Raw genomic sequence first — 25,411 nt, forward strand, 5'->3', positions numbered from 1 at the left:
GGCAGAGGTTACAGTGAGTGGAGACCACGCCAGTGCACCGTAGCCTGTGTGACGGAGCCAGACTTTGTCTCAAAAAAAAAAAAAAAAACCCAAAAACGAAAAATGGTATGCCTGATTACTGATTAGGGCACTTACCATGAATGGAACTTGCTCTGGGTGAGTGGTGAGTGAAAGTCAAGGCCCAGGACATTACTATATACTAATGTATATTTTATAAACACTGTACACTTAGGCCACACTAAATTTATTTTTTAAATATTTCTTTTTTCAATAGTGAATTAACCTCAGCTTAACATAACTTTTTTACCTTCTAAACTTTTAAATTTTTTAAAACTTTTTTACTGTCTTGGTAATAACATTTAGTTTAAAACACAAACACATTAGCTGTACAAAAAAACTTTCTTTCTTTATATCCTAATTCAATAAACTTTTTTCCATTTGATACAGTTTGGCTCTATGTTCCTGCCCAAATTTCATCTTGTAGCTCCCCTAATTCCCACCTGTTGTGGGAGGGACCGGGTGGGAGATAATTGAATCATGGGGTCAGGTCTTTCCCATGATGTTCTCATAACAGCGAATGAGTCTCAAGAGATCTGATAGCTTTAAAAGGGGGAATTTCCTTGCACAAGCCCTTTCTCTTTGCTTGCTGCCATCCACGTAAGATGAGACTTGCTCCTCCTTGCCTTCTGCCATGACTGTGAGGCTTCCCCAGCCATGTGGAACTGTAAGTCCAATTAAACCTCTTTCTTTTGTAAATTGCCCAGTCTCAGGTATGCCTTCATCAGCAGCGTGAAACAGACTAATACACTATTTTTATTTTATTTTTTTTACTTTTAAATGGTACTGTTAAAAACTAAATAGAAACACACACATTAGCCTAGGCCTACACAGGGTCAGGGTCACCAACATCACTGTCTTCCACTCTACATCTTGTCCCACTGGAAGGTCTTCAGGGGCAGTAACAAGCCTAGAGCTGTCATCTCCTACGACAACAATGTCTTCTTCTGGAATTCCTCCTGAAGGAACTGCTCGAGGTTGCTTTGCAGTTAATTTATTTTTTTAATAAGTAAAAGACTCTAAAATAATGATTAAAAGTATAGTATAGGAAATCCATAAACCAGTAATATAGTCATTTATTATCACTGTCAAGTACATACTATGCATAATTGTATGTGCCATACTTTTATACGAATGACAGCACAGTAGGTTTGTTTACACCAGCTTCACCACAAACATGTGAGTAACCTGTTGTGCTGTGATGTTACAACAGCTACCTAGTCACTAGGTGATAGAAACTTTTCATCTCCATTATAATCTTATGGGACCACCGTCGTATATGCAGTACTTCAATGACCAAAACATCCTTATGTGATACCTGTGTACTAAATGTTTGAAATATTGCAACTCAGCAGAAATTTTAAATGGATCATTTATAGAAAAACTGCTAGAGCTCTTTGAGAGACAATAAATCCAATTCAGTCTGCCCAGTCAGAGCAAAGACAACCCCTTCAGAAGTTTTAAGAGGAAGCAAGAGCATATATTCTCTCAGATATAACACGTATATTCGTTTTTCAGCAGTTGCAGGACTACTGGCTGGCTGGAGCTAGTTCACAAGGACAACCACATCAGTCAGGAAGACCTGTGACCCAATGGCTCTCATGTGCTCATGGACTAAACAGGAAACAAAATTCTGCGACCCCAAGTATGGTAAATGATGAATGGCAAGAAAGCAACTGGTCTATCTTCTGATCATGTAAATTCCTTTCCTTTAAAGGGAGGTTTGTCTGCCCAGAGGCTTAAAGGCAAATCATGAAATCACGTGTCTTCTGGAAAAAGACACACCAGCTGATAAAAACATGGTTTCTCCAATAATCAGTTAAAAACATCAAAATATTTATAATTATGTGCTATTGCTTGAGCTGGCATTCTCTATTTCTCATCACTTTCATCAACCAAAGTTTATTAGGGTATGGAAGTTGATAAAACTTAGAGAAAAATCCCAAGGAAATTCCATGTCTTTTGTGTTCCCTCAAACTGAAGTTTTCCCAGTATCTGTTTTCTCCTTATTGGCAATGGTGAGAAGGAATACTATATGAAAAGAGATTTAAAATCTATCATAGACTTTGTCATATGAGAACAATCCTTTCTGGAAAAGAAATGTAAACTTACAGGGATTTCTTAAGGGTCTCCATGGATATACACCATCCCCCTCCTCCAGTAGCTGTTAGCTTTTATGTGCAAATGTACTGAACTAGAGACCTATTATATCAAAAGGACATTTTCATCCTAGAATATTTTTCAGAAAAACAAGCCTCAAAATGTAACTCTTCTGTGCAGATGCAATCACCCAATCAATTCTTCTGCTGATTCAACATTCTAATAAGACTAACAATCCATTCATTCATTCATTCATTCATCCAGCAAACATTTATTGAATGCCCACTACAAAGTTCAGTGTTGTAACGACTGAGGCTCTGAAAATCATGGCTCCAAAACTCAAAACCTATGAAACCTTGGATAAGTTTCTTAAACTCTCAAGTTTCGGTATCCTTATTTAAAATACTAGTTGCTGGTATGCAGCTACTTTTTATGAACCAACCTAGAGAAACCCCATCCTCCTTATTCAGATGCCCTACTGGGAGGAAGGTGCGTGGGTCAACCTAGAGGAAGACTATGATATATTTTGAAATGATCTTAGGATAGGACACAGAATCTCAAGCAGGTTGCTCTGGATCTTTCCACTGTTCCAAGAACAAGGATCACTCACCAAGGCACTAAATGCAACCATTTCTGTTGCATACAGACAGAGAAAATTAATACATTTAACAAATGATTAAAAGAAGTGTTCAGGAAGAATTCAATATAGAATCACATAACTAGAATGGCAACTATTGATTAGATGAGGCTGAAAGGGCAGCTGTGTGTATTTCAAAGGGCTCTGAATGCCAGATGAAAACATCTGTACACAGAGAGGGGAAGACATGAATAGGTTTGAACCCTAAAAAGATGTTTGTCGACACCAAGCAGACTGGACTGGGGTAGGGAGTGAGTGGAGGCTGTGAAGCCAATTAAGTTTGTGGTCACAGTTGACATAAGAATGTAAGGAAGAAAAAAGGCTTCAATAGCATAATGCTTTAATACCATGCTTCTCAGCCTTGAGTATTGCATGGGCCATTTGTAAACAATTTACAAAGTTAAGTTGTTATTATCATAGTGTTATTTAAAGGTGTACAATATTCCTTATACCTATAGCGCCAATGAAAGTAAAACCAAAACGAAGTTACAAACCCAGGTAATATTGTTCTAAATCTTGTCCTCTTTCTGGCTTTTCGACACCTCTAGGTCTTCCAACCTCCTTCCTCTAAAACTAACGATTGTCTGAGAGTGTGGCACTTCAAGCAAAAGACCTGGGTTCACACTCTGACTCTGCCACTTACTAGCTGGAGACTTAGGGAAATTGCTTGATCAATATGAGCCTCAATTTCTTCATCTATAAAGTCAGCAGAATAACCTACCCCATACAGTTTTTGTAAGAATCAAAACAATTATGTGGAAAGCACTCTGTTACCCATGAGTTCTCACTAACACAATCTTGTGGACTTGCATTAATATGCAAAAGACAACAGAAGTTTACTAAAGTAAGTGACATTTTTTGGAAGGGTTCTGAACTATTAATATTTTAAAAGAGAAAAAAATCAAAAAATGTTTATAAGAACAAGACAATCATTTATTCTTAACTACTCAAACTCAGAGGATCATGTGTGCCTCCATTTCATGCCATCATTTGCAGAGGAGGAAAAGTAGACAGGTTGAGGGCCCGTGTGTGTTGCTGACAAAGGCAAACTGAGCCCAGGCCTTGTGGCTCCCAGATCTGTTCACCAATTAAAAGCTACAAACTTCATTGATAATGCTTATAGCCAGCTAAAACAGCACCTTCTTTGGAAAGCAGCACCTGGGACCCTTCCACAAACTCTCTGCAATGTGCTAACACAAGTCTCAAAGACCGGGCATTTCCCAGGGAAGATGGAGGACACCACACCTCAGAACCTTTGCTACCCTCTGAGACAAGGCTCACTCTCCATGTGAGAGACCTCACTTAAGTGAAAAGAGGGAAGCAGTAATCCAGCTCAGGATCAATAGAAAGAATCAACTAAGTCTTCCTGTGTAGATCTATTTCATACCAAGGACTTCATGTCTTCAATTTGGAAAGAAGTTCAAAGAAAAAATCAGGGACAAGATTACACAATTTACAAACTGACTTCACACACATCATATTTGATCCACATGGTCACCATGCTAGATTGATATTATGACCCAAAAACACTCTCCAACAAAAACAACATGTTTATTTCTATTGTCTTAATCTTAAGCAAAAAATTTTACTTGATTTTTCCGTTTCTTCTGTTCTTGGAGAAAAACTTGGCACACCTTTAAAGCAGTAGTGAACTTCCCATTTTTGAGGAGGCTTAAATATTATTTATAAAAATAGCAAATAAAATGTTACCCCACCATTCCTCCTTCTTGAAATTAATATGGTACAGTGCCAAATTCCATTCATCCTTTCACTTATTCATAAAACAAACACATTGGTAGCACCCAGGATATGCCACCATTGTTTTATCCTGGAGGACATAAAAATGAAAACAACCAAAGTCTCTACACTCTGATCATAAAATCAATATTAATAAAAAATTATAGCCCGCAATGTGGACTGATGTCAAAAATCATGAATTCAGGGTAAAAAGAAAGTTACTAAAGACTGGGATGACTGTACAAATACACAGGAAAGAAGTCATCAACAAAAAATTCTAAAAATGCCTCAAGGTTTGGGCCATTCCTTCGAGAACAGCATATATAGTAGGGCCTGTGATGGATGGCCAATACAAAAACGCTCTGACACTAACTTAATTTGCAACTTAACAAGAGTATTAACTGTGTACTTTTAACATAAAATAAAATGGGTGACTATCTTTCCACAACTTTTAATATTTATTCTGTGTTTTTTAGCTTGTCCTTTAAAAAATGAAGAATCCATTAACATTAGTTTTCAGGTTACCATCTTAGGCAACTAAATATGAATAATCAATGCAAATTAACCAATATTATATAAGGAAATTTGACTTATCTTTCAACCTAAGCAGACATGATTTTTTTTTTTTTTTTTTTTTGAGATGGAGTCTCGCTGTCACCCAGGCTGGAGTATAGTGGCGCGATCTCAGCTCACTGCAACCGCTTCCTGGGTTCAAGTAATTCTTCTGCCTCAGCCTCCTGAGTAGCTGGGATTACAGGTGCCTGCCACCATGCCAAGCTAATTTTTGTATTTTTAGCAGAGACGGGTTTTCACCACGTTGGCCAGGCTGGTCTCAAACTCCTGATCTCCGGTGATCCGCCCACCTCAGCCTCCCAAAGTGCTGGGATTACAGGCGTGAGCCACCGCAACTGGCCTAAACAGACATGATAATCTATTTCTTTAATAAAGATAACTTAAGTTTGCCTAAATTCTCTATAATTACAAAATAAGAATGTTGTACTAAGATAAGATTTTTAAGATAGACATAGCAATACGTAGCTCATCCTGAATGATCTAATTCCAAAATCTTGCATATATTTGACTGCTTCCTATTTAGAAGTTGTATTAAAAGTCAATGGATTCTTCAAAAAGCAAAACATTGAGCTGCCGTATGACCCAGAAACTCCACCCCTAGGTATACACCCAAGATAACTAAAAACATGTCCACATGAAAATTAGTATACCAATGTTCATAGCAGCATTATTCATAATCGCCAAAAAGTGGAAAGAATCCAAACGTCCAAGTGACTAATGAGTAAACAAAATGTGGTATATCCATACAATGAAATATTATTTGGCAATAAAAAGGAATGAAGTACTAATACATGCTACAGAACTGATGAACTTTGAAAATATTATGTTTAGTGAAAGAAACTAAACACCAAAGACCACATATTGTATAATTCCATGTATATGAAATGTCCAGGCTATGAAAATCCATAGAGGCAGAAAAAAATCAGTGGTTATGCCATGAAATGGGGAGTGACTGCTAATGGATATAAGGTTTCTTTTGAGGGTAAAAAAAGTATTCCAGTATTTGATAGTGGTGAAGGATGTACCCTCTGTGAGTACAGTAAAAAACACTGGGCTGGACGCCGTGGCTCACACCTGTAATCCCAGCACTTTGGGAGGCTGAGGCTGGCGGATCAAGAGGTCAGGAGATCGAGACCATCCTGGCTAACATGGTGAAACCCCGTCTCTACTAAAAATACGAAAAATTAGCCAGGCGTGGTGGCGGGCGCCTGTAGTCCCAGCTACTCAGGAGGCTGAGGCAGGAGAATGGCGTGAACCCAGGAGGCGGAGCTTGCAGTGAGCCGAGATCGTGCCACTGCACTCCAGCCTGAGTGACAGAGCAAGACTCCTCCTCAAAAAAAAAAAAAACACTGAATTGCACACTTTTTAAAAAGTGAACTTCACTGTATTTGAATTATATCTCAATAAAGCTGTTATTTTAAAAAAAAAAAAAAAAAGCAATGGCTTTTCAAATCCTTCCTGAACTTCCTTGGCCTCTTTTTGCCTGTTTTTATTTGTGTCTGGTTAATTTCCTCATATATAATAAATAAAAATAATTACAGGAATAAATATGAGAGATTTGTCAGTGTGTATATCACTATAACATGTTCATTCTGGAATTTTTATTGCAATTTTGCTTCTAAAATTGGAACGTAATAATGTAGAAAATTCAGTGTCATTGGGTACTGTTATGACAGCAAGAACTTCTGAAATGTTTTCTAAATATGCAGTATCTCTAAGTCCAAGGATCATTTCAAAATATGAAATAAACACAAGACTTAGTGTGACTTCTTTTTTACTTCTATCCCTTCTCCCATCCTCACAAAACCAGTACCCATCCATGGGAAAACAGAAAAATGGCCAACCTCCAACTAACTCCAGGGGCAAGAATGACCAGCATGCCCTAGGATTGAGAGAGGAAAGAGAGAAGGAGGGGCCTGTATTTCTGCCTTGACAACGTAGTAAGTAAAACGTAGCACACTGTTGCCCGTAGTTTCAACCAGTGGATTAGCAGCCCCACCTTCTAGGTGAGGCTAGAGAGGGTGAAGAAAGGGGCAACATGTCCTTGAGTTCTGTCCCCATGCCTAGAGAGAGGAAGAACAATCTCCTCCCAGACAGAAGCACTCAGTAAATGCAGGCAGTTTTTATATATTCTCTAGCCCACACGACATTCAAATAAGGCTCAAGAAAGGTTAGCTGAATTGAATTATCAGAAAAGGGTAGGGGGAGGAGAGATCACTGAGTATTTATGATGTTGTAACAGTTTTAATTGAATATAAGTCAATGGATCAATTTCTTGATTATAAATCTTACAATTAGATTTCTTCAATCAGCAAGTAACTTTTGGCAGATTTCAGTAACATTAATGCACTTTCTAGCTTAAATGAAAAATGGCTGATAAAAGTCCAAAAGATAAAGTACATAAGTAAGAACTTACTTGGTTAAAACAAAAGATTATTTAGAGTAACATTTTATTTATTTAGAAAAAGAAAACTGGAAATTAGTATTATCTAAATTTTTAATATCTTCATGCTAAAGTTTAGTGAATTTTCTTATGTGAAGTAGACACCTTAATCTTAAAGCAATAATTGGCTGGGCATGGTGGCTCACACCTGTGATTTTCCCAGCACTTTGGGAGGTTGAGGCAGGTGGATTACCTGAGGTCAGGAGTTCGAGATCAGCCTGGTCAAAATGGTGAAACCCCATCTCTACTAAAACTATAAAAATTAGTTGGAAATGGTGGCGCACGCCTGTAATCCAAGCTACTCAGGAGGCCGAGGCAGAAGAATCACTTGAACCCAGGGATGGAGGTTTCAGTGAGCCAAGATCACACCACTGCACTCCAGCCTGAGCAACAGAGAGAGACTGCGTCTCCAATAAAATAAATAAATAAATCAATAAATAAATGCAATAATTAGAAAATTAACCATTTGAACAGCTTTTGACGTCTCTAGTGGAAAAACACACTAGATTGTTGGTATGCAAACTAGGGACTTCAAAATATTAAGGAGCTACATATTTCCCTGGCAATTTTTTCTCCCATTTATTTTCTTAACAAACTCTATTTCAATATATAGAACAGGGTTAACTTCTACTTACGTCACATCCAAATGATGAGATGGCTTTCTGTATACAATAGATCTGGACAGATAATTGGGAAGCAGAGCATCTGCTACAAATTTTGACTCATCTGAGCCTAGCTTAGCTAATGTAAAAGTTTACCACTTAAATTAATCCCAGATTATTTTGTACAATCTTATTACTTGGATCATTTTTTATACTAGGACCTAATAACATGATTACATTAAGAAAAAATATGAATTATATGAAAATTAGAAAATAATTCCAAATGGATTTGGTTCATTCACCTTGAATTCAAAGATGACCAGGTATTTTTCTGGACAGTACGAGTGGAAATTCATTTTGCCCAAAATGCTGAAAATATGACAATCTAGTCCCAAAGCACTATGGGTTTGGTTATAGATTGCAGAACTAATTAACTTTATTACCTTATTCTTTCCCTCAAGTCATACACCAGAGTAAAACTGCCTCTATAAGAGATACAGCTTCCTAACCACACATATTAATTTTTGGGTCATATCAAGTAGAGTTCTGCCCAGCTGGAAGTCACTCTTTTTTTCCACTAAGACTGCATGGTTTTAACATTACTTGAGGATATAAAAATATTAGTTAATCAGCCATTCAGGAGCCTGCTCTCCTGCATTCCATTAACACCTTCTAATACAGCATAAACATTGTAAAGGTTATATTCTTGGACAGGCCAGAATGTCTTTGAAAAATTATTAGATCACCCCCAGAAGAGAACTATAACACAAATGAATGAGTCACAGGACTAACTAGAAGCAGGGCAGTATCTAGTTTTCAGAAATACAGTTAACTACCACATTAAAAGACTTCTTTTCTAATGTTCAACTGCTTTCACCTCTCTTTCTGGCTATAGTTGGAGTGGGGGAAAGGGCTGTGAGGAGGGGAGGAAGATCATTATTCAAAGGCACCCAAGCAAAAAACTAGGCAAGTTGTATTATTTTAAAATATTAATTAATAAAGTTATACTGGTTAGCAGGAGTCTAGATGTGCCATACCTAAAATAAATGTAATCAAGCCCCCCAAAATTATAAAGTTTTAAAGTTTAGCTACAAGTATAAAGTTTAGAGAAGTTGAAAACCCAGCACCCAGAAGAGTTCTTTAGAAGAGTTCTTTTATAGTTCCATTATCTACCCAAAAAAGGAGGCGGAAAGATTTAGCAGGTAAGATGTTTTGAAGTAACAGATGTTCTGGAAATTAAGGATATGTAGTCACAGGCCCTGCAACTCTCAATTAATTTGCACAATGTTGCTCAATGAAAAATAATGAGGTGGATACATTAATCAGCAGTGAGGTCTTCTCTAGCCTTCCACACTCAACAGTACTGAGAAATCAAATCGACTTCCTTCTGCCTCAGCTGGATAGGGATGATTATCTTACTATCCAACACTAGACTGTAAGGTTAAGAAAAACCCACTAAGTCACTGAAAAAAAAAAAAAGACTATAATTAATGCTTTGTATTAACTTTAAAAGAAAGTCCATTAATTTGGTAACAGAATGCAAGTGTGAATCCTATTAAATAGCACTCAGGAAAGGCAAACAATTCACTTCTAATTGCATATATAAACGAATATAATGTCATAAAATAAGAGACCATAAATCAAAATACAGCTAAAGCATTACTGTCCTGTATATTCTATGCATTTTCTCACTGGCAAAAAAACTAGCAAAAACCCAAAATGACATATTCAAAGCATAATCTTAGACAGCAACCTTGCTAAACTCAAACAAGCTTCCTTGTTTAAAATTTTCTTCTGAAAAAATTAATTCTGCCCAAAATAACAAGATTCATAATGTGCAAAATAAAAAATCCCTTACTGGTCTATTGTTGTTTATTATTGTTATCTATTATTGTTGTTTTCAAATCCTCTAAATACCATATAATAGTGACAAAATTTAATTCGACTTTTTCCTACTTGAAAACGAGTAGCGCACATTATTAAACCCACTGACACTTGTGTATATGTTTTCAACAAAATCTACAGATTCGCCAACGTTGAATTTCTAAGTACACCACAAATAATTGATATCACAAGGGAAGAAATGTACTCCCCAGAGAACATAAGATATAAATATAAATAGTATATAAATCTTAATTGTATCTAAACAGATACAAATAACCTCTATATCTGTCTATGTGTATTCAAATCTACGGTAAATATATCCAACTCAATACCCAGTCCGATTTAATTCCAACATGGAGTAAAGGGAAGGTAATGAAAATTCCCTTAGACCTCTATGGTAGCTGCAGTTATATTCAAATCAAAACAATAGGAACTGTACTTGGCACAATCATAATACAGCCTTATAATATAAGGTTAGGAATGAAAATGGACTAAACCATTTTCATTGAAGGTAACTTGGGCAGAAGTAACAATGTGCAACGTATTGAGAAAAATAAGGTGTGAAACAAAAGGGGTTGCAGAATTAAGTTCCAGGATAAAATACTGTCCAAGGGGAGATAAAAAAGGAAATAGACAAAAGTCTCAAAGGGACAACTAGGTTTTTAAAATGTTTCTTACAGGCATTATTCAGTGATCCTATGCTCTATTTAAACTCTACTTCATCGGCAAGAAAAGAATTTCATGCAGATAGATATTGTGCAATGGAATGTAACAAAGCATTGCTCCAAGGTATTGTTTATTAATTTCTGTCACTGATTTTGGATCCATTCCTAATGGTAACTAAAAGCTTTTTGAATTGAAAACATTAAAGGGCTGTTAAAAGAAACAAATGCAGAGAGCAGTACATCCCGCAGCATAACCAGCCAGGGTGGGTGGGGGAAGGGTCTTCACATTTAGACAGCACTGGCAAGAAAGCAGGTTTTTTTAATACTACTAAAATTATGTTAGTTTTCAACAACTAAAAATATTCTGCAATAGCTGTTTCACCTAAGGTAATTTATTCTACTTAGAAAAGCAACTAATGAATTGATAAGTCAATTGAAAAGTGAGTGAGTCATATTTTTAATGTCAAATTGCAAAATTCTTTATGCTTGAAAAGAATTAGAATTAAGAAATCTGCTAAAATTTTGGCTAAATGAGCACATTTTAAGGGGTTTTTAAAAGAAAAATTTAAGTTCCCTCAGACCTATATAAAATTGGTCTAGAATCCATCCATTCATCATATTTATTTACAGCCAAGCCAAAGCTCATTCCTTTAGGACTACAGCAAAATCCAGCAATCAACCTGTAGCCAAGGAGCTGAATATTCATAGAGAAAAATCACATAAGCAAGCGAATGTATTTTATTTTAGATTCATTATCGCCACCCCAATACCTGCTCTTCTCTCCTTCAACCACCCCAACACACACACCTGACCCCAATCTCAGATGATGACCTTACATTTCACTGGGAAAACAAAACCCTTTAGGTAAGAGCTCCCCCAATCCCCACCATCAAGTTACAAACCTTGGAGCATCCATTTCCAGTGTCCCTTTGCCCCCTCCTATTACCAGGGAGAGATGTCCCTCTCTCCAAACAATACTAAGCTCCCCTACATGTGCTGTCGACCTTCCTCAAAGCACAAAAGACCCATCCTAGGGAAGAAAGTGCAGGGATGCCTGGAAGTGATCTCCCTCCTCTCTAACTGTAAAAATACTACCTAATTTTTTAATGTAGCTATTTCCTCCCACTAGAATATAAGCTCCATGAGAGCACAGACATTATCTTGTTCACCTGGCTGTCTAACACATGCAAGGGTGTCCATTTTTGGAGCTGTGAAATAAAAATTCCTTAAATATTTGTTGCAAGTCCTATCTTCTATTAAGCCTTCCCCTTCTCCCACCACTCCCATCGAAAGCTTCATTCATTAGCATGACCCCAGCTGCATCCAGGGAAAATTAATTACTACATCTTTTGGGCTCCCATAACATTTGAATCCCTCCTACAACACAGAAGAGACATTTTTATATACATTCTTCCTAACTCCGATTCTCATTCCACACTATAAAACAAGGTACTTAAGAGGAACGACTGCCTTATTTATCGGTTATTAGATCCTAAATCAATGCCTGAATGAGCTCAAGAGAGTTTCTTTAACTGTACTGAGGAGAAAGTCCAAACTACTTTATGAATTGATTTCTAACTCATCCCCTACTTTTTCAAAAGAAATATGTAAGATAAAATACCTATTTAATAAATAACAAAATATTACTTTTCTTTACTTGCAGAAGTTATTTAGTCATGAAGTAGACAAGCAGGGTACCACTTAACACTAATTTAATGGAAAGATAGTCTAAGTTTGTAATGAGAAAACGGAAAATGGTTTTTCCCCAAGGTCACAGACTAAGGCAGTGGCAAAGTCAATTAACTACTCTTTATCTTACCAACACCAAAAAGAGCTTTCATTTCCCACCAACCCACATCCATAGATTTCAAGATTTTTATTATTATGGAAGTAGTTGATAATTTTGTCTATTAGTAAAAGAAGAGTAAAGTTTTAATTAATTATACTGAATAAAAGTGCAGGGGTGGGTGGAGCTATTAAAAGAACAAACAGGTTTTCTTCTGGGCTATACCACAGAGAGCTGAACAAAAGCCACTTGAAGAAAACTCCCTCAGAGTACAAGAGCTGCTTTTCTCTGTAGATTCTTACAAGATAATGATCAAGCAAGAAAAACACCTAATTTCCTTTTTTTCTTGGATTCTTATATTTCCCAGAGAGATTATATTCACAATGTGGAAAGTGAAACTGTTAGAAGAATCTCACTTACTTATTAACCCCAGTAAACTTAAAAATTAAATAAAATACGGCATCAGCAATTTGGAGCCTCTGGTTAATAATAAAGGGTATAAACAGTGAAGCAAGAAACTCTGCGTTAATCAACTATGTCGATCTGTCATTCTGTGTTTCCTTAAAGTGAAAATGGTGAACTATGCTGAAAAACAAAATAAGATAAACCTTTGTGTGTGACTAAAAATCTAGCCAGCCGAGTTTCTGGCTAGCAGATATGGCAGAATGGCATATTCAAGACTTGGAAAGACTAACATTATCTATAAGTCCGCAATTTACAAGAAGTAGTTTTAACAGTGACATGAAAAAGATAAGAAAAGGTTCCAAATAAAGTTATTCCTATTATGATTTCAATATTGTTATTTGCATGAATGATTATGAACTATTTTTTCATCCATTCGTTCAGGCACTTATTTATAGGAAGTACTAGAATGTCACAGAGGTAATAACTAAACTCCCAATTGTTTAAATTTTTTCATAGTGAAAATAAATATTCATATGGAAAGCTTCATAAAGTAAATAGTTTCAAAATAAAACAGAATGACAAAATAACCAGTTAAATCACACTATCAAAGTGAATGAACCCAAATTTTTTAATTTTTCAAACTATACAGAGTCCCTCATTTTCAGCTGCTCCACATCTAAGTGTTCTCGTGTTTTCTTAGCGGCAGCACTGAACTTCAGAGTCAATCAAGTCCAATTTTTAGGATGCCTTTGGAATTGAAGTCTTAAGACCACAACTAACAAAAAGCAAGTACTTTGCTCCTTCACAGCAGGATGCAGATTCCTTTTTCTAAGCAGAATTCCAGACATTCCATGAGTTTCCTATAAAAATAGATGTCCATTTTAAAGTAGGCCAGCCTGAACTCATACCAGCATAAAATAGCCAAGAAGCACACTTATGACTGTGAGGTTTACATCTGCTCTTGTAAGCAAACTCTAGAGATTACCATTCTTCAGCTCCACCCTAAATCTGCTTCTCAGCTCTTCCTTACTATCACAAGACAGTGGGCGCTGTGAAAAGATGGCCTAGTGGTTCAAGGAAAAACCATTGATCAGGAGAGCTCTGAGGACAAACATGGACGAGTGCTTGACTTTCCCTTCCCCCTCCAAATAAACTGCTGCATTAGAAAACTGATATTACATTTAAAGGTTATCACTTCTCATAACTCAATGACTTGATTAAAGAAAATAATTTTTTTAATAAATCAAAAGTACCATGAGTTTTTTTTAACATGACACAACAGCATACACTATAATATCATGAAGAGTACAAAGCTTAAAAAAAGAATTTAAGTGTAGACATCAGAGTAAAGGCCTGGTTCTTAGTCTCTGGTAGCACATGTAGAGCTTGACTTAAGTGGGATTTACACCGGTCTCTGTCTATCCTTAGATGCCCCCAGGAGTGAGATGGAAAGCATAGGCTTATCAGAAGAGGATTGTGTGACCCTTTTAAGCCCTTTATTCAAAAAGACTTATCAGATCCCTACTCTGTGTCAGGACCGTGCTTGGCAACTGTAAGCCGAAACAGACCCAGTCACTGCCCTTCTGGAGCTGAAGCTTGCTGAGGGAAACAGACAATCACACAAAGGAACACATTATTACCTCCCATGAGCAGTTCTAGGAGGCAGTCTTAGCGGGAGAGTGAGAGAGAGAGACCCAATCTATTCCAGGGATCAGGGAAAGCTTTCCCAAAGGGAGAAATGTTTACACCAAGTGGAAGTTAACCAGGCATAAAAGGAAAGGGAAAGGACATTCCAAAATTAGAAATCAATTTAGGCAAAGGCCTGAAGCAAGAGGGGCAAAGCCTGTCAGAGGAATTAGTGAGTTTGAAAAGGCAGGTGTTGAGGGTTGGTGTCTAGTAATGTAACTAGTGAAAGTTGAGGCTGGTGGGTGCTAGGCCACAGTTCATGTCTAGTCTTTCAGGCTTTATTAAAGTCCTGAGAAGCAGAGAATAACATGACCAGAATGTCTGTAGAGTGAAGAACGGGGTTGAAAATAAACCTACAGCAGACAGGAGGAAAACAGTGGCTGGCCTATTGCAGTAAACTTAGGATAATAATGGTAGCCTAAACCAAGAGGGTGGCAATGGAAAAGAGAGAAGTGGGCCGTTTTTAATGATCTCAGATACAGTACTTTTGATGATCTTCTAATGAACTATATCATTAAATTTCCAAAAAAAAAAAAAAAACCTGGCCCGTAATAAGCATTCCATGAATATTTGTTGATTCAGTTAATCTTCTTCATTCCATGCTTCTTCCTTCTTCCTCGCCTTTTTTGTGAAGTCCCCTCCCCAGGTCTGTCTGGAGTGGACCCACCTTGCAGAAGCAATTTCTCCAGAACAAAAATCTGTCAACTCATATCTTAATATGTCGACACTAAAGGAATAAGAGGATACAAAGGAAAAATACTAGGGAGAAAAATTCTCTCTGTCTTCAAGTTGAAATTTTCATGTCTCTAACCAGCATTTTGCAGCTTGACTTCTTTTGGGTATTTAAGAAAATTAGCCTATATTGTGTTTCCTGCTATGAACACCAGGTGCCATACTATGTTTCATCTACACTATTTAAATGACATGCCAACTTCATTCCTTTTATTGCCAGATCAGCTCCCTAGAGGTCAGAGTGACCGTGTCACTTGTCTGGTCACAGAGCCAGAGAGAACATGAACTGGGAGATCAGGTCAGTTGGAATCTAAACCCAGCCTTTCCTTGCTTGCTTACCACACTAGTTCTCAAGTAGCTACAATTCCTTCGCCTCGCTTTTTCTTCACATATATTGACTGGCCACCCATTTAAAAATAATAAATACGTCCACTGCAGCATGATGTTAGTTTGCTGAAAGCTAGGAATAAGACACAGGTTATTCTTTCTAGTGTGGCCCAGAATTAACCATAAGATCTTAAGCAAAGTATTCTGCTTCTATTTTTTCGTTGGTCAGATGAAGATAATGATATAAGTATATGAATTATGAGTATTATTGTTAGTAATGAGAGTTCTAAGCAGTAGACACAGAGAGGTGCCACTCCATGCCCTTCAAGAAAGGCCTTTGTGCCCAGCTGTGGAGTGGGTGGTCAGCAGACAGCCTTCAGGAGGCAGCAACCTTAGGGCCAGCCTCAGCTGCAGAGTGCTGCTTGCCTGAGCTCTCCCACTTTCCAAGGTGGCCCATATTCAGTCCCTGAACAAGGGTGACAGAAGGGCTGTCCACTTCAGCCTACACAGGCCGCCACTGACTAGAAACCCTTGCTGCATTCACAAGGCTTGCCAGGCCTGCATGGCAGTTCAGCTCCTCTCTCTACCCAAAACTGCTTCCTCCCCCTTCCTTTTACAAGTAATGATTCCTAATAAACATCCTGTACCCCAAATTCTATCTTGGCAGTGCTTCTAAAGAACCCAAACCATGACACTGTGCTTTCTTACTTTGGAGATATTAACTAGGTCATCATAAAACTTAATTACATATTTGAAGTGCCAAGAACAGGCCTGTTGAGTAACTTGATTTGAAGTTGTTCTATTAATTAACAGAAAGATATCTTTATTTCATATTTTAAACAAATCAAGTCCTAGTTGATAGCCTTTTTTAATCTCAATTTAATTATATGCCAAGTTTGAACATTCAAGTTTTTATCCCAGATAACTTTGGAAGAAAGTTATGAGGCTAAAAATTAAAGGATAAAACTAAATTGGGACATCTAATATAATTAGAGTGTCATTTCAGTGACAACAAATACATTTCAGTCTAGTTTTTAATGTGTTACACAAAGCTGGTTCTATAAGTGCTTGGCATCAATAAATTAACAACCAGCATTTTTGCCAGCAAAGCCAGCAGCATGCATATAAAACCAACAAGGGATATTAGGCCCACTGCCAAAGCTTTATACAACTAGTGTCACTTAATTTAGTTCTCATATCAGAGTGGAATCATGCTCGTTCTGGAAAAGTATTTCTTCCAACCCTCCCGGAAACTGGAAATTAATATATTTCTCTGCTTGCTTATAGCCAACACTACAATTTTACTTTTATCTAAATCTGGAGGTAATGTTTAAAGACTGTAATTTTAAGCTATCCAAGTGAGGATAAGTTTTAAAACATTACATGGATAGTGGTGATAACAAGTGAAATGGTCATTCTAAACCCCTAAATAATATGACCACTGAATCAGATATGCATAGAGCCCAAAAGGTCCTTTCATTCAACGTCCAGAATGTATTCATTCAAATATTATTTAGTGAGCACCAACTATGTGCCAGTCAATGTCTGGGTAGGCAGAGCTATTCCGATAGTGGTTATCTTGCTTGGTGAACAGAAACAGGAATGCAGGAAACAAATTCTGCCAAAAGATCCCTACACTTAAGAAATGGCAAAAAATATACTCCTACATATTAAAAATAAATGAAAAGAACCATATATTAGATGCAAACAAAAGATTCATGATTATTTTCTCTCTTTTGTCTTTTTCTTTTTCTTTTTTTAGAGACAGAGTCTCGCTCTGTAGCCCAGGCTGGAGTGCAGTGGTGCGATCATAGCTCACTGCAGCCTCAATATTATTTTCTTAATGGTGTCCAAAAGAATACTGAAGAAAGGTCAGCCTGGAATGTTGAACCCTACTTATTTCATAGGCAGAAACAGCTGCCAGGTTTTGGTCAACTGCTGTCTTACTAAGACTGCCAAATGGAAAGCCCAATAGGGCTGCCATGTTATACTGCATGTCATTCAAATGTTACCAATCACTTAACATTCATTGTAAATACTGAGTGTTTAGGAATGCCACAGAAATTCTGGAGAGTCACAAACTTCTAAAGGTGTCGTAAGCACTTACGCAACATTTTTATAAGCAAAATCTGAGAAGTATGATACTATTTTTCATTTTAGAATTCAGTCATATTCTTCACTAAATTCAAAACCAAACCACATATATACCACTCAGGCCAGAGGGAGGCTGAAAAAATAACACTTGACAAACTGACAGAAAAATGCTACCTCCTGCAGAGAAATAGAGGTGTTAAAACAAATCAGGTTGATTCTTGTTTTTATTAATGTGTAATCATTTACAGGACATACTTCATTTGCAAAGAAAATACTTGTTCATCAAGTTGAAAGATGAATGATAATCGCTTTTTGAGCATTTTATATTAACTGGATTAAGGTAGGGAACTAGCAGAAGGGCAAAAGGCAAAATTTAACAATTCTTCCTAAAATTTATTTGTCAATTTTTTGGTGTTCCAGAGAAGAAAATAATTTTTTTTCACGTTTTCCATCACTCCCAAACAATTTTAAACAGAAAATTTTATTATTTTATCCTTTAGTTCATTATGATGAATTAAATACTTGATAAAAGGAGAAAAGTAAACTATCTTTTTATGTTGATTTTTTTTAAAAAGAAAACCAACTGTGTGGAATGAGGGAATCAGAGACTAATTATATGAAGACTATGTTAATGTTTAATTTGGTTATATTTTAAAAAACCTGAAGGCTCCTGCAGACTGTTTTCATTCTATGCTACTACCCCACTCCTGGGCGCAACCACCAAATTTTAGTGCCACCCTCATAAATGCCAAGGGAGTAAGTTTATTTTTCCCAAGGTTCAACAGAGATCTCTTGTGCTTAGTCTGAGGGCAGTGGAGTCCTGCATTAATGCATATTTTTATTAAGCTCTCACTTTAGTTTAGCATGCAACAGATATTTTCCAAAGGTTTTTATAAACCTTCCTAGTTTTCTGACTTAAAAACCCAAAATACAGTCATGAAGCCCACGTATCTAAATATTCCTGCTCCAAAGTGAATAATGCAAAAATCTCTCAAAGTTACCATTCTCATCATTAAATCATTTTAGATTTAATTTTCAGTGCAAAATAACCAAATAGCCCCCAAAGTTTCCAGAACCTGTTGCCTCAGCAGGGAGCTAGCCTTCCCAAAGAGCACAGAGAATCCAACTAGAGTCACCTACCCACCAGGTCTCACCAGATACAGGTTCCACAAACTTTCCTGCATCCAGAAAATATAGGAAGAGATAAAGACCTGGGGGAATAGCATTTGCATAAGCAGCGGTTATGACTGTGGGTTTTGGAGTCAAGGAGACTAGCGACTACCTCCTGATTTTGCCAATTACTAATTGTATGACACTGGGCTAGTTGCTGAATCTGTCCAAGCTCAGCTTCCCTGTGTCAAGATGAAGGCGTCAAGATGAAGATCTGCTTTAGGGAATTCGGTGAGAATCCAGCAAGATGCTGAGGGTAGGGCATTCAGCACAGCGGCTGCCTTAGCAGTGCTCCATGAAGAGGCGATTGCTGTGATTACTGTCGTCCTCAACATTGTGATCAGCCCAAACACCTACATCTGTCAGCTATGCTTAGAAAGGGCTTGGCTGTGAGCAACACTATTGACTGTCTCTCCCTTCTCTCCAGGAATAGTACAGACAAGATAGAAGAGTCAGTGGTTGAGAACTAAGAGGTAAGAATATTTTGGCACTGCGGTTCTTTATAACACTTAGGAATTAAAGCAATTGGCACCTTGAGTACACTCAAGGGAAAATCAGATCAGTGGCTTGAAAGTGCATCCAGTATACTTGGAAATGCAAAAATTAATTATATTTGATGGCGATATAATAATAATAGTAATAAAGATACACTTTAACACAACAACCTCAGAGGTAATATCACACAGATTTTTCAGATAACTCACGGTAGTTATTAAAATTTCTGAAGACCACATAGCTGGTAAGGAGAAGAGCCAAAATTAGAATCTAAGTCTGTTTCATTCCAAATGTTCATAATCACTGTAATCTGTTCCAAGTGTCCTCCCAACAAGCTAGAAGCCTCATACAAAACCACTACATGATGGAATCAGATGGATGAGATGGGGTAGGATGGAAACTCATGGCATGCTCAATACAGAACTATGTGGCCTAAAAAACCAGAAGAAATGGTCAGGCCTTCTACAGAACATTCCGCACAAAGTGTCAATCTAAAATGAGGGCCATTAATCATCTGGTAATTTTAAGATCAAACAACTGAGACCACAGGATAATCACGGAACTTGTCAGTCCTAGAACGTATGGACTCTAACGCATATGTCAGTCATGACATCAAGTCTCACAACCAAAAACTGCCCAAAAGGTTTCTGAAAAAGAGAAACTTTAAGAATAACAATGAAGAACAAATACGGACATTTTTTAAAATTCTCTTTTTACTAACCTAGGAGTAAACGCAACACAGTCTCATAAAAGCAAATATCAAATTTCCTTTTTTAACTACAAAGTTAGATTAATCATAATCCTTAGTTCGTAACACATATGCTTTTTGTTTAAGAGCCAGGGTCTCACTTGGTCATCCAGGCTAGAATACAGTGACCCAATCATAGCTCACTGCAGCCTCAAACTCCTGGGCTCAAAGAATCCTCCTGCCTCAGCCTCCCAAGTAGCTGGGACCACAGGCACACGCCACCACACCTGGTTATTTTTTTTTATTTCTGGTAGAGACGAGGTCTCGCTTTGTTTGCCTAGCCTTGTCTCAGACTCCCGTCCTCAAGCAATCCTCCTGCCACAGCCTCCCAAAGCACTGGGATTACGAAGATGAGCCATTGAGCCTGGCTCGTAACACATACATTTATCTCTCCTTAATGGTCCATGCATGGCCTGCCTTTATATTTAATCATTTATATTTTATGCATGTATTTGTATGTTTTAGATAATACGATACACCCTCATGAACCCACCACCTGACACAAGAACTAGAACATTAAAAATTTACACCTATCAAGTGTTTCTCTTCAACCCACCTGCATTAACTGCTATCATGAATAATAATAATTGGCTTATTTTTCTATATATATATCATATATTTTGTATATATCTTAAAAGCATTTTTTTAGTTTTAGTTTTAATTTTAACACATTAAAAGTTTAAAGGAGAAAAAGGATGTCATATAAATAGATTCATAAAAGCATTTAATAAAATTTTATATAAATCCCTGATATAAACTTTAGTAAATTAAGTATAGAGAAGGGAACATCCTTAACCCGACCCGATTTAATTTTTTTTTTTTTTTCTGAGACAGAGTCTCGCTCTGTCGCCCAGGCTGGAGTGCAGTGGCGCGATCTCGGCTCACTGCAAGCTCCGCCTCCCGGGTTCATGCCATTCTCCTGCCTCAGCCTACCAAGTAGCTGGGACTACAGGCACCCACCACCACACCCAGCTAATTTTTTGTAGTTTTAGTAGAGACAGGGTTTCACCGTGTTAGCCAGGATGGTCTTGATCTCCTGACCTTGTGATCCGCCCGCCTCGGCCTCCCAAAGTGCTAGGATTACAGGCGTGAGCCACTGCATCCGGCCAAAATTAAGTACAATTCTAGTCAAAATCGTACATGGGTCGTTCATGGAACTTGAGAAGGTGATTTTAAAATTCACATGGTAAAACAGCCAAGATACTTTTGAAAACGAAAAGCAAGGAGGGGACCTGCACCCTATCAGATATCAGCATTTCTTACAAGGCTAAGACAATCTAACTCTGGACAGGGAGAGACATATTGACCTATGGAGTAGAAGAGGGCCCAGAAAAAAAAAAATCCCACACATATGCATAACTTTAATATATGACAGAGATGGTGAGTTTATGTGAATAAAAATGAAAACTGAACCTCCATTTTACATTACACAAAAATTAACTCCAGATGGATTAAGGACTTAAAATATCAGAAGCATATCTTTAAAATGTTTAGTGGAAAATATGTTTTAAGGACTTCTTTCTGAATCTGATAAAAAAGTATTTTTTAAAGACACAAAAGTACCCATTATAAAACAAGATACAGTATTAGTAAATTTGACTCTTTTAAAAACAAGGACATACGACCATCAAAAGTCACCTTATAAAAAGTGGAAAAAAGCTACAAACTGGGAGAGGATAGCTCCCATCTGTATAACCACCAAAAGATTAGAATCAAGAATATATAAAGAACTTCTATAATAACAAGAAAAACTCAGACAATTCAAAAAAAACTGGGCAAAAGACATGAATAGGCTTTTTTTTTAAAGGGGGGGTGGAATATATTAGACATAAGTATTTGAATAAATATTTGACCTCATTAGTGATCAGGGAAATGCACATCAATTATAAACTCACATAATTGGCAAAAATTTTTAAGTCGGATAGTAGCCAGTGTTTCAAGAGAATATGGATGAACCAGATTTCTTAAATATTGCTGGTAGGAATGTAAACTGGTACAACTACTTTGGAAGGCATTATTGCATTATCTTATAACATTCAGATACTCTATATCTGTATATATACATTCCTCTGTGCCATTCCTCTGTGAAATGCCATTCCTCTGTGAAAACTAGAGGAAATTTTGTACATGTAGAGCAGATAACATGTACAAGAATGTTTATCACAGTAGCATTCATAACGAAAATCTGAAAATAACCCAAATGTCTATTTGAGAAAATGCAGAAATAAATTTAGGTACATTCTCACTATGGAATGTTATACAGTCCTAAAAAAGGGTGCACCACTGCATACAAAAATATAGATAGATCTTGGCAGCATAATACAGACTGAAAAATTAACTCCTGAAAGATGACCAATACCAAGATACTCTTTTATCAAATATAAACTTAAATATAAAATGTAAGGATATATTAAACCAGGGATCAACGTAACAATCAAACTGAAATCCCTACCTCAATAAAAACTGATCTTAAAAGTACAAACCTCCAGAATTTCCATGGTGTCATATGCAGTCTCCTTCACTTATTTCATGTGATAAAGTTCTGCATTTCATCAAGATGAAGTGAGATGCAAATAGATAAAACCACAACTGTACAGCAGTAGATATTACACCCTCTCTCATTATTTATTAGGAATAGTTTGCCTGCTCACTTAAGAATGAATATCCTAGCGCTTTGGAAGGCTGAGGCAGGTGGATTGCCTGAGCTCAGGAGTTCGAGACCAGCCTGGGCTACACGGTGAAACCCTGTCTCTACTAAAAATACAAAAAAAAAAAAAAATAGCCGTGCGTGGCAGTGTGTGCCTGTAGTTCCAGCTACTTGAAAGGCTGAGGCAGAAGAATGGCGTGAACCCGGAAGGCGGAGGTTGCAGTGAGCCAAAATCGCGCCACTGCACTTCAGCCTGGGTGACAGAGTGAGACTCCATCTCAAAAAAAAAAAAAAAAATGAATATCATACCTCATACACTCAGTCATAAAGAGTCTTGAGAAACTAGTGGACCAGAAAAATACTAGGTGTATTATCCTGAAAAAGCACACTCTGGAAAACAGCTCAGTCACATCATTCATCTTGCCACAATACAGTGTCCATCTGTGACCATTTTTGAGTGAATAAGGTCATACATTTGCTTAAAGATAATTTTTGGGCCCAGTAAGGAAATCTCTTTAGCTCCTAAATTAGAAGCCAGAGGAGCCTGGCAGCCTTCACATGTGAGAAACCTATTGAGCAGTGAATAGAATAATTATTCCTGAAGACTGTGTGCTCTGGATATATTCCTGAAGACTGTGTGTTCACGGAGCAGCTCAGTGCTCCGTGAAAGGCACATTTGCCTTCCCAACTCTCAGAATATACTAAAAATGAGTTTTTTCCCCTCCTAAATGTCATTAGCATATTCTGATAATAAACAACTGTCTTTAATAGCCAGATATTTAGTATAGTAGTTATACATATATAGAGATGTAGCCACTCAGCCTATTGTCCTGAAAACTGGAAAATCTGCTCTTCCTGTCCTAAATATTAAGGAAGTACATAGCAGATGCTGGAGAATCTGTAAAATTAAATGTAACAGGATTACCATGAGTTTTCACTTACTATAGGTATTTAGATTCCATTCTTACATGACTTATCCACACTGATAAAGAATACGCATAAAATTAGTGTCTTTTCTGCCTTTGATAAAGAACAAAATAGTGGTAAGATAGTTTTAAACAATATGAGTTGAGTTCTTAATTAACTGTTGCAAGTGTCAGAGTAGTGTTCTATTTGTGAGTGGCAGAAAGTATCAAGACACTAGGAGAGGGCAGTTAAGGAAGCCCCCATAAAACTATGGAAATGAGAATATGGTACAAAGGTAGACAAATTCCTTGTTACAGAAATAAGGATATCGAAATGAATTAGGTTTTTTGGATCAATAATGTCAAAAACCATTACGTATGTGATTCATTAAATGCAATAACCAAAATAAAAATATTTTTCTTTTCAGAAAAGTATTCCATGATGAAATCAGTAGATTTCAAAAGAACAAACATACACATTCCAAAACCACTTGCATGTATTGACAATGTTGGTGACATATGAATTCATATGAGCTTTCTGGAGAGAACAGGCTTGAGCTTCCCCATATATGTTTCTGTCCTCCCAACTGGGCTGTGAGTTAAGAACAGGGACTGTCTTATTCCTTGTTGTATCCCAAGGGTGTGATTCAATTCTGGTGCTTAGAAAATATTTTTTGACTGAATGAATGAACTTGGTATTATATACCAAGCACTTTTAAAATTATTTTCACACCCCTTTAAACCAGTATTTCTACCCCTAGGAATTTATCTGAAGGAAATAACCAGAGACACAAAGACACATATACAGGATGTTTGTTAGAGTATTATATCTAATAGCACAAAATCTAAATGTTCAATCACAGAGAAATGATAAAATGTCATAAATCACACAAGGAACGTAGTACTAGGCAGTTATTTAAAAGTGTGTTTACGACCGGGCGTGGTGGCCCAGCACTTTGGGAGGCCGAGGCAGGCAGATCACGAGGTCAAGAGATGGAGACCATCCTGGCCAACATGGTGAAACCCCGTCGCTACTAAAAATACAAAAATTGGCTGGGTGTGGTGGTGTATGCCTGTAGTCCCAGTTACTCGGGAGGCTGAGGCAGGAGAATCACTTGAACCAGGGAGTTGGAGGTTGCCGTGAGCCAAGATCGCACCACTGCACTACAGCCTAGTGACAGAGCGAGAATTCGTCTCAAAAAAAAAAAAAAGTCTGTTTACGAAGTATAATTATTGACAAGGAAAATTTTCATAATGTAACATAATATGTCCAGTATATTTAATACATATATACACCTAGATTCTAATGTATTATATACATATGCATGAGTATATTTATATCTGTAGGAAAAAAAGTGTGAAAATACACCAAATTGTTAACATATTTTGCTAATAAATAGAACTTAGCTGATATACTTTAAAATTTACAAAAGTAACTAAAATTTTATTAAAAATGAAATATAAATAATTTTAATTAATAAACATACTCCATTTGCGTATGTGCTCTATCTAGAAACTATCCGACAACCACAAAAAAGCATTTGATATTTAGTCTTATAATTCAGAAATGAGACCTTCATAAGGAAAAGGAAAATACACAAATATGGTTTAACCACCACAAGAGCAACTCCACCAAAATGAGCACATACTTTAAAAATAGTCATGCAAGTAAAATATCTCATTGGAAAGGTAAATATTAGTGAATATTTTATTGGAAA

General features: G+C 37.0%; 1 protein-coding gene across 7 annotated transcripts in view, besides 1 other annotated feature; it reads right to left on the reverse strand.

Moving 5' to 3' along the window:
* FSIP1 (fibrous sheath interacting protein 1) overlaps positions 1 to 25,411 on the reverse strand; it is a 185,402-nt gene that overhangs the window by 55,665 nt on the left and 104,326 nt on the right. The window lies entirely within an intron of this gene.
* Positions 13,499 to 14,015: an enhancer, noted in NCBI's record as "NANOG hESC enhancer chr15:39958804-39959320 (GRCh37/hg19 assembly coordinates)". NCBI's record gives its function as "activates a minimal SCP1, AML or CMV promoter by ChIP-STARR-seq in primed H9 embryonic stem cells {active_cell/tissue: H9 hESC(primed)}" and the evidence as "EXISTENCE:reporter gene assay evidence [ECO:0000049][PMID:30033119]".

Source organism: Homo sapiens, chromosome 15 (genome assembly GCF_000001405.40).
Source record: "Homo sapiens chromosome 15, GRCh38.p14 Primary Assembly".
In the NCBI taxonomy this organism is placed as follows: domain Eukaryota; kingdom Metazoa; phylum Chordata; class Mammalia; order Primates; family Hominidae; genus Homo; species Homo sapiens.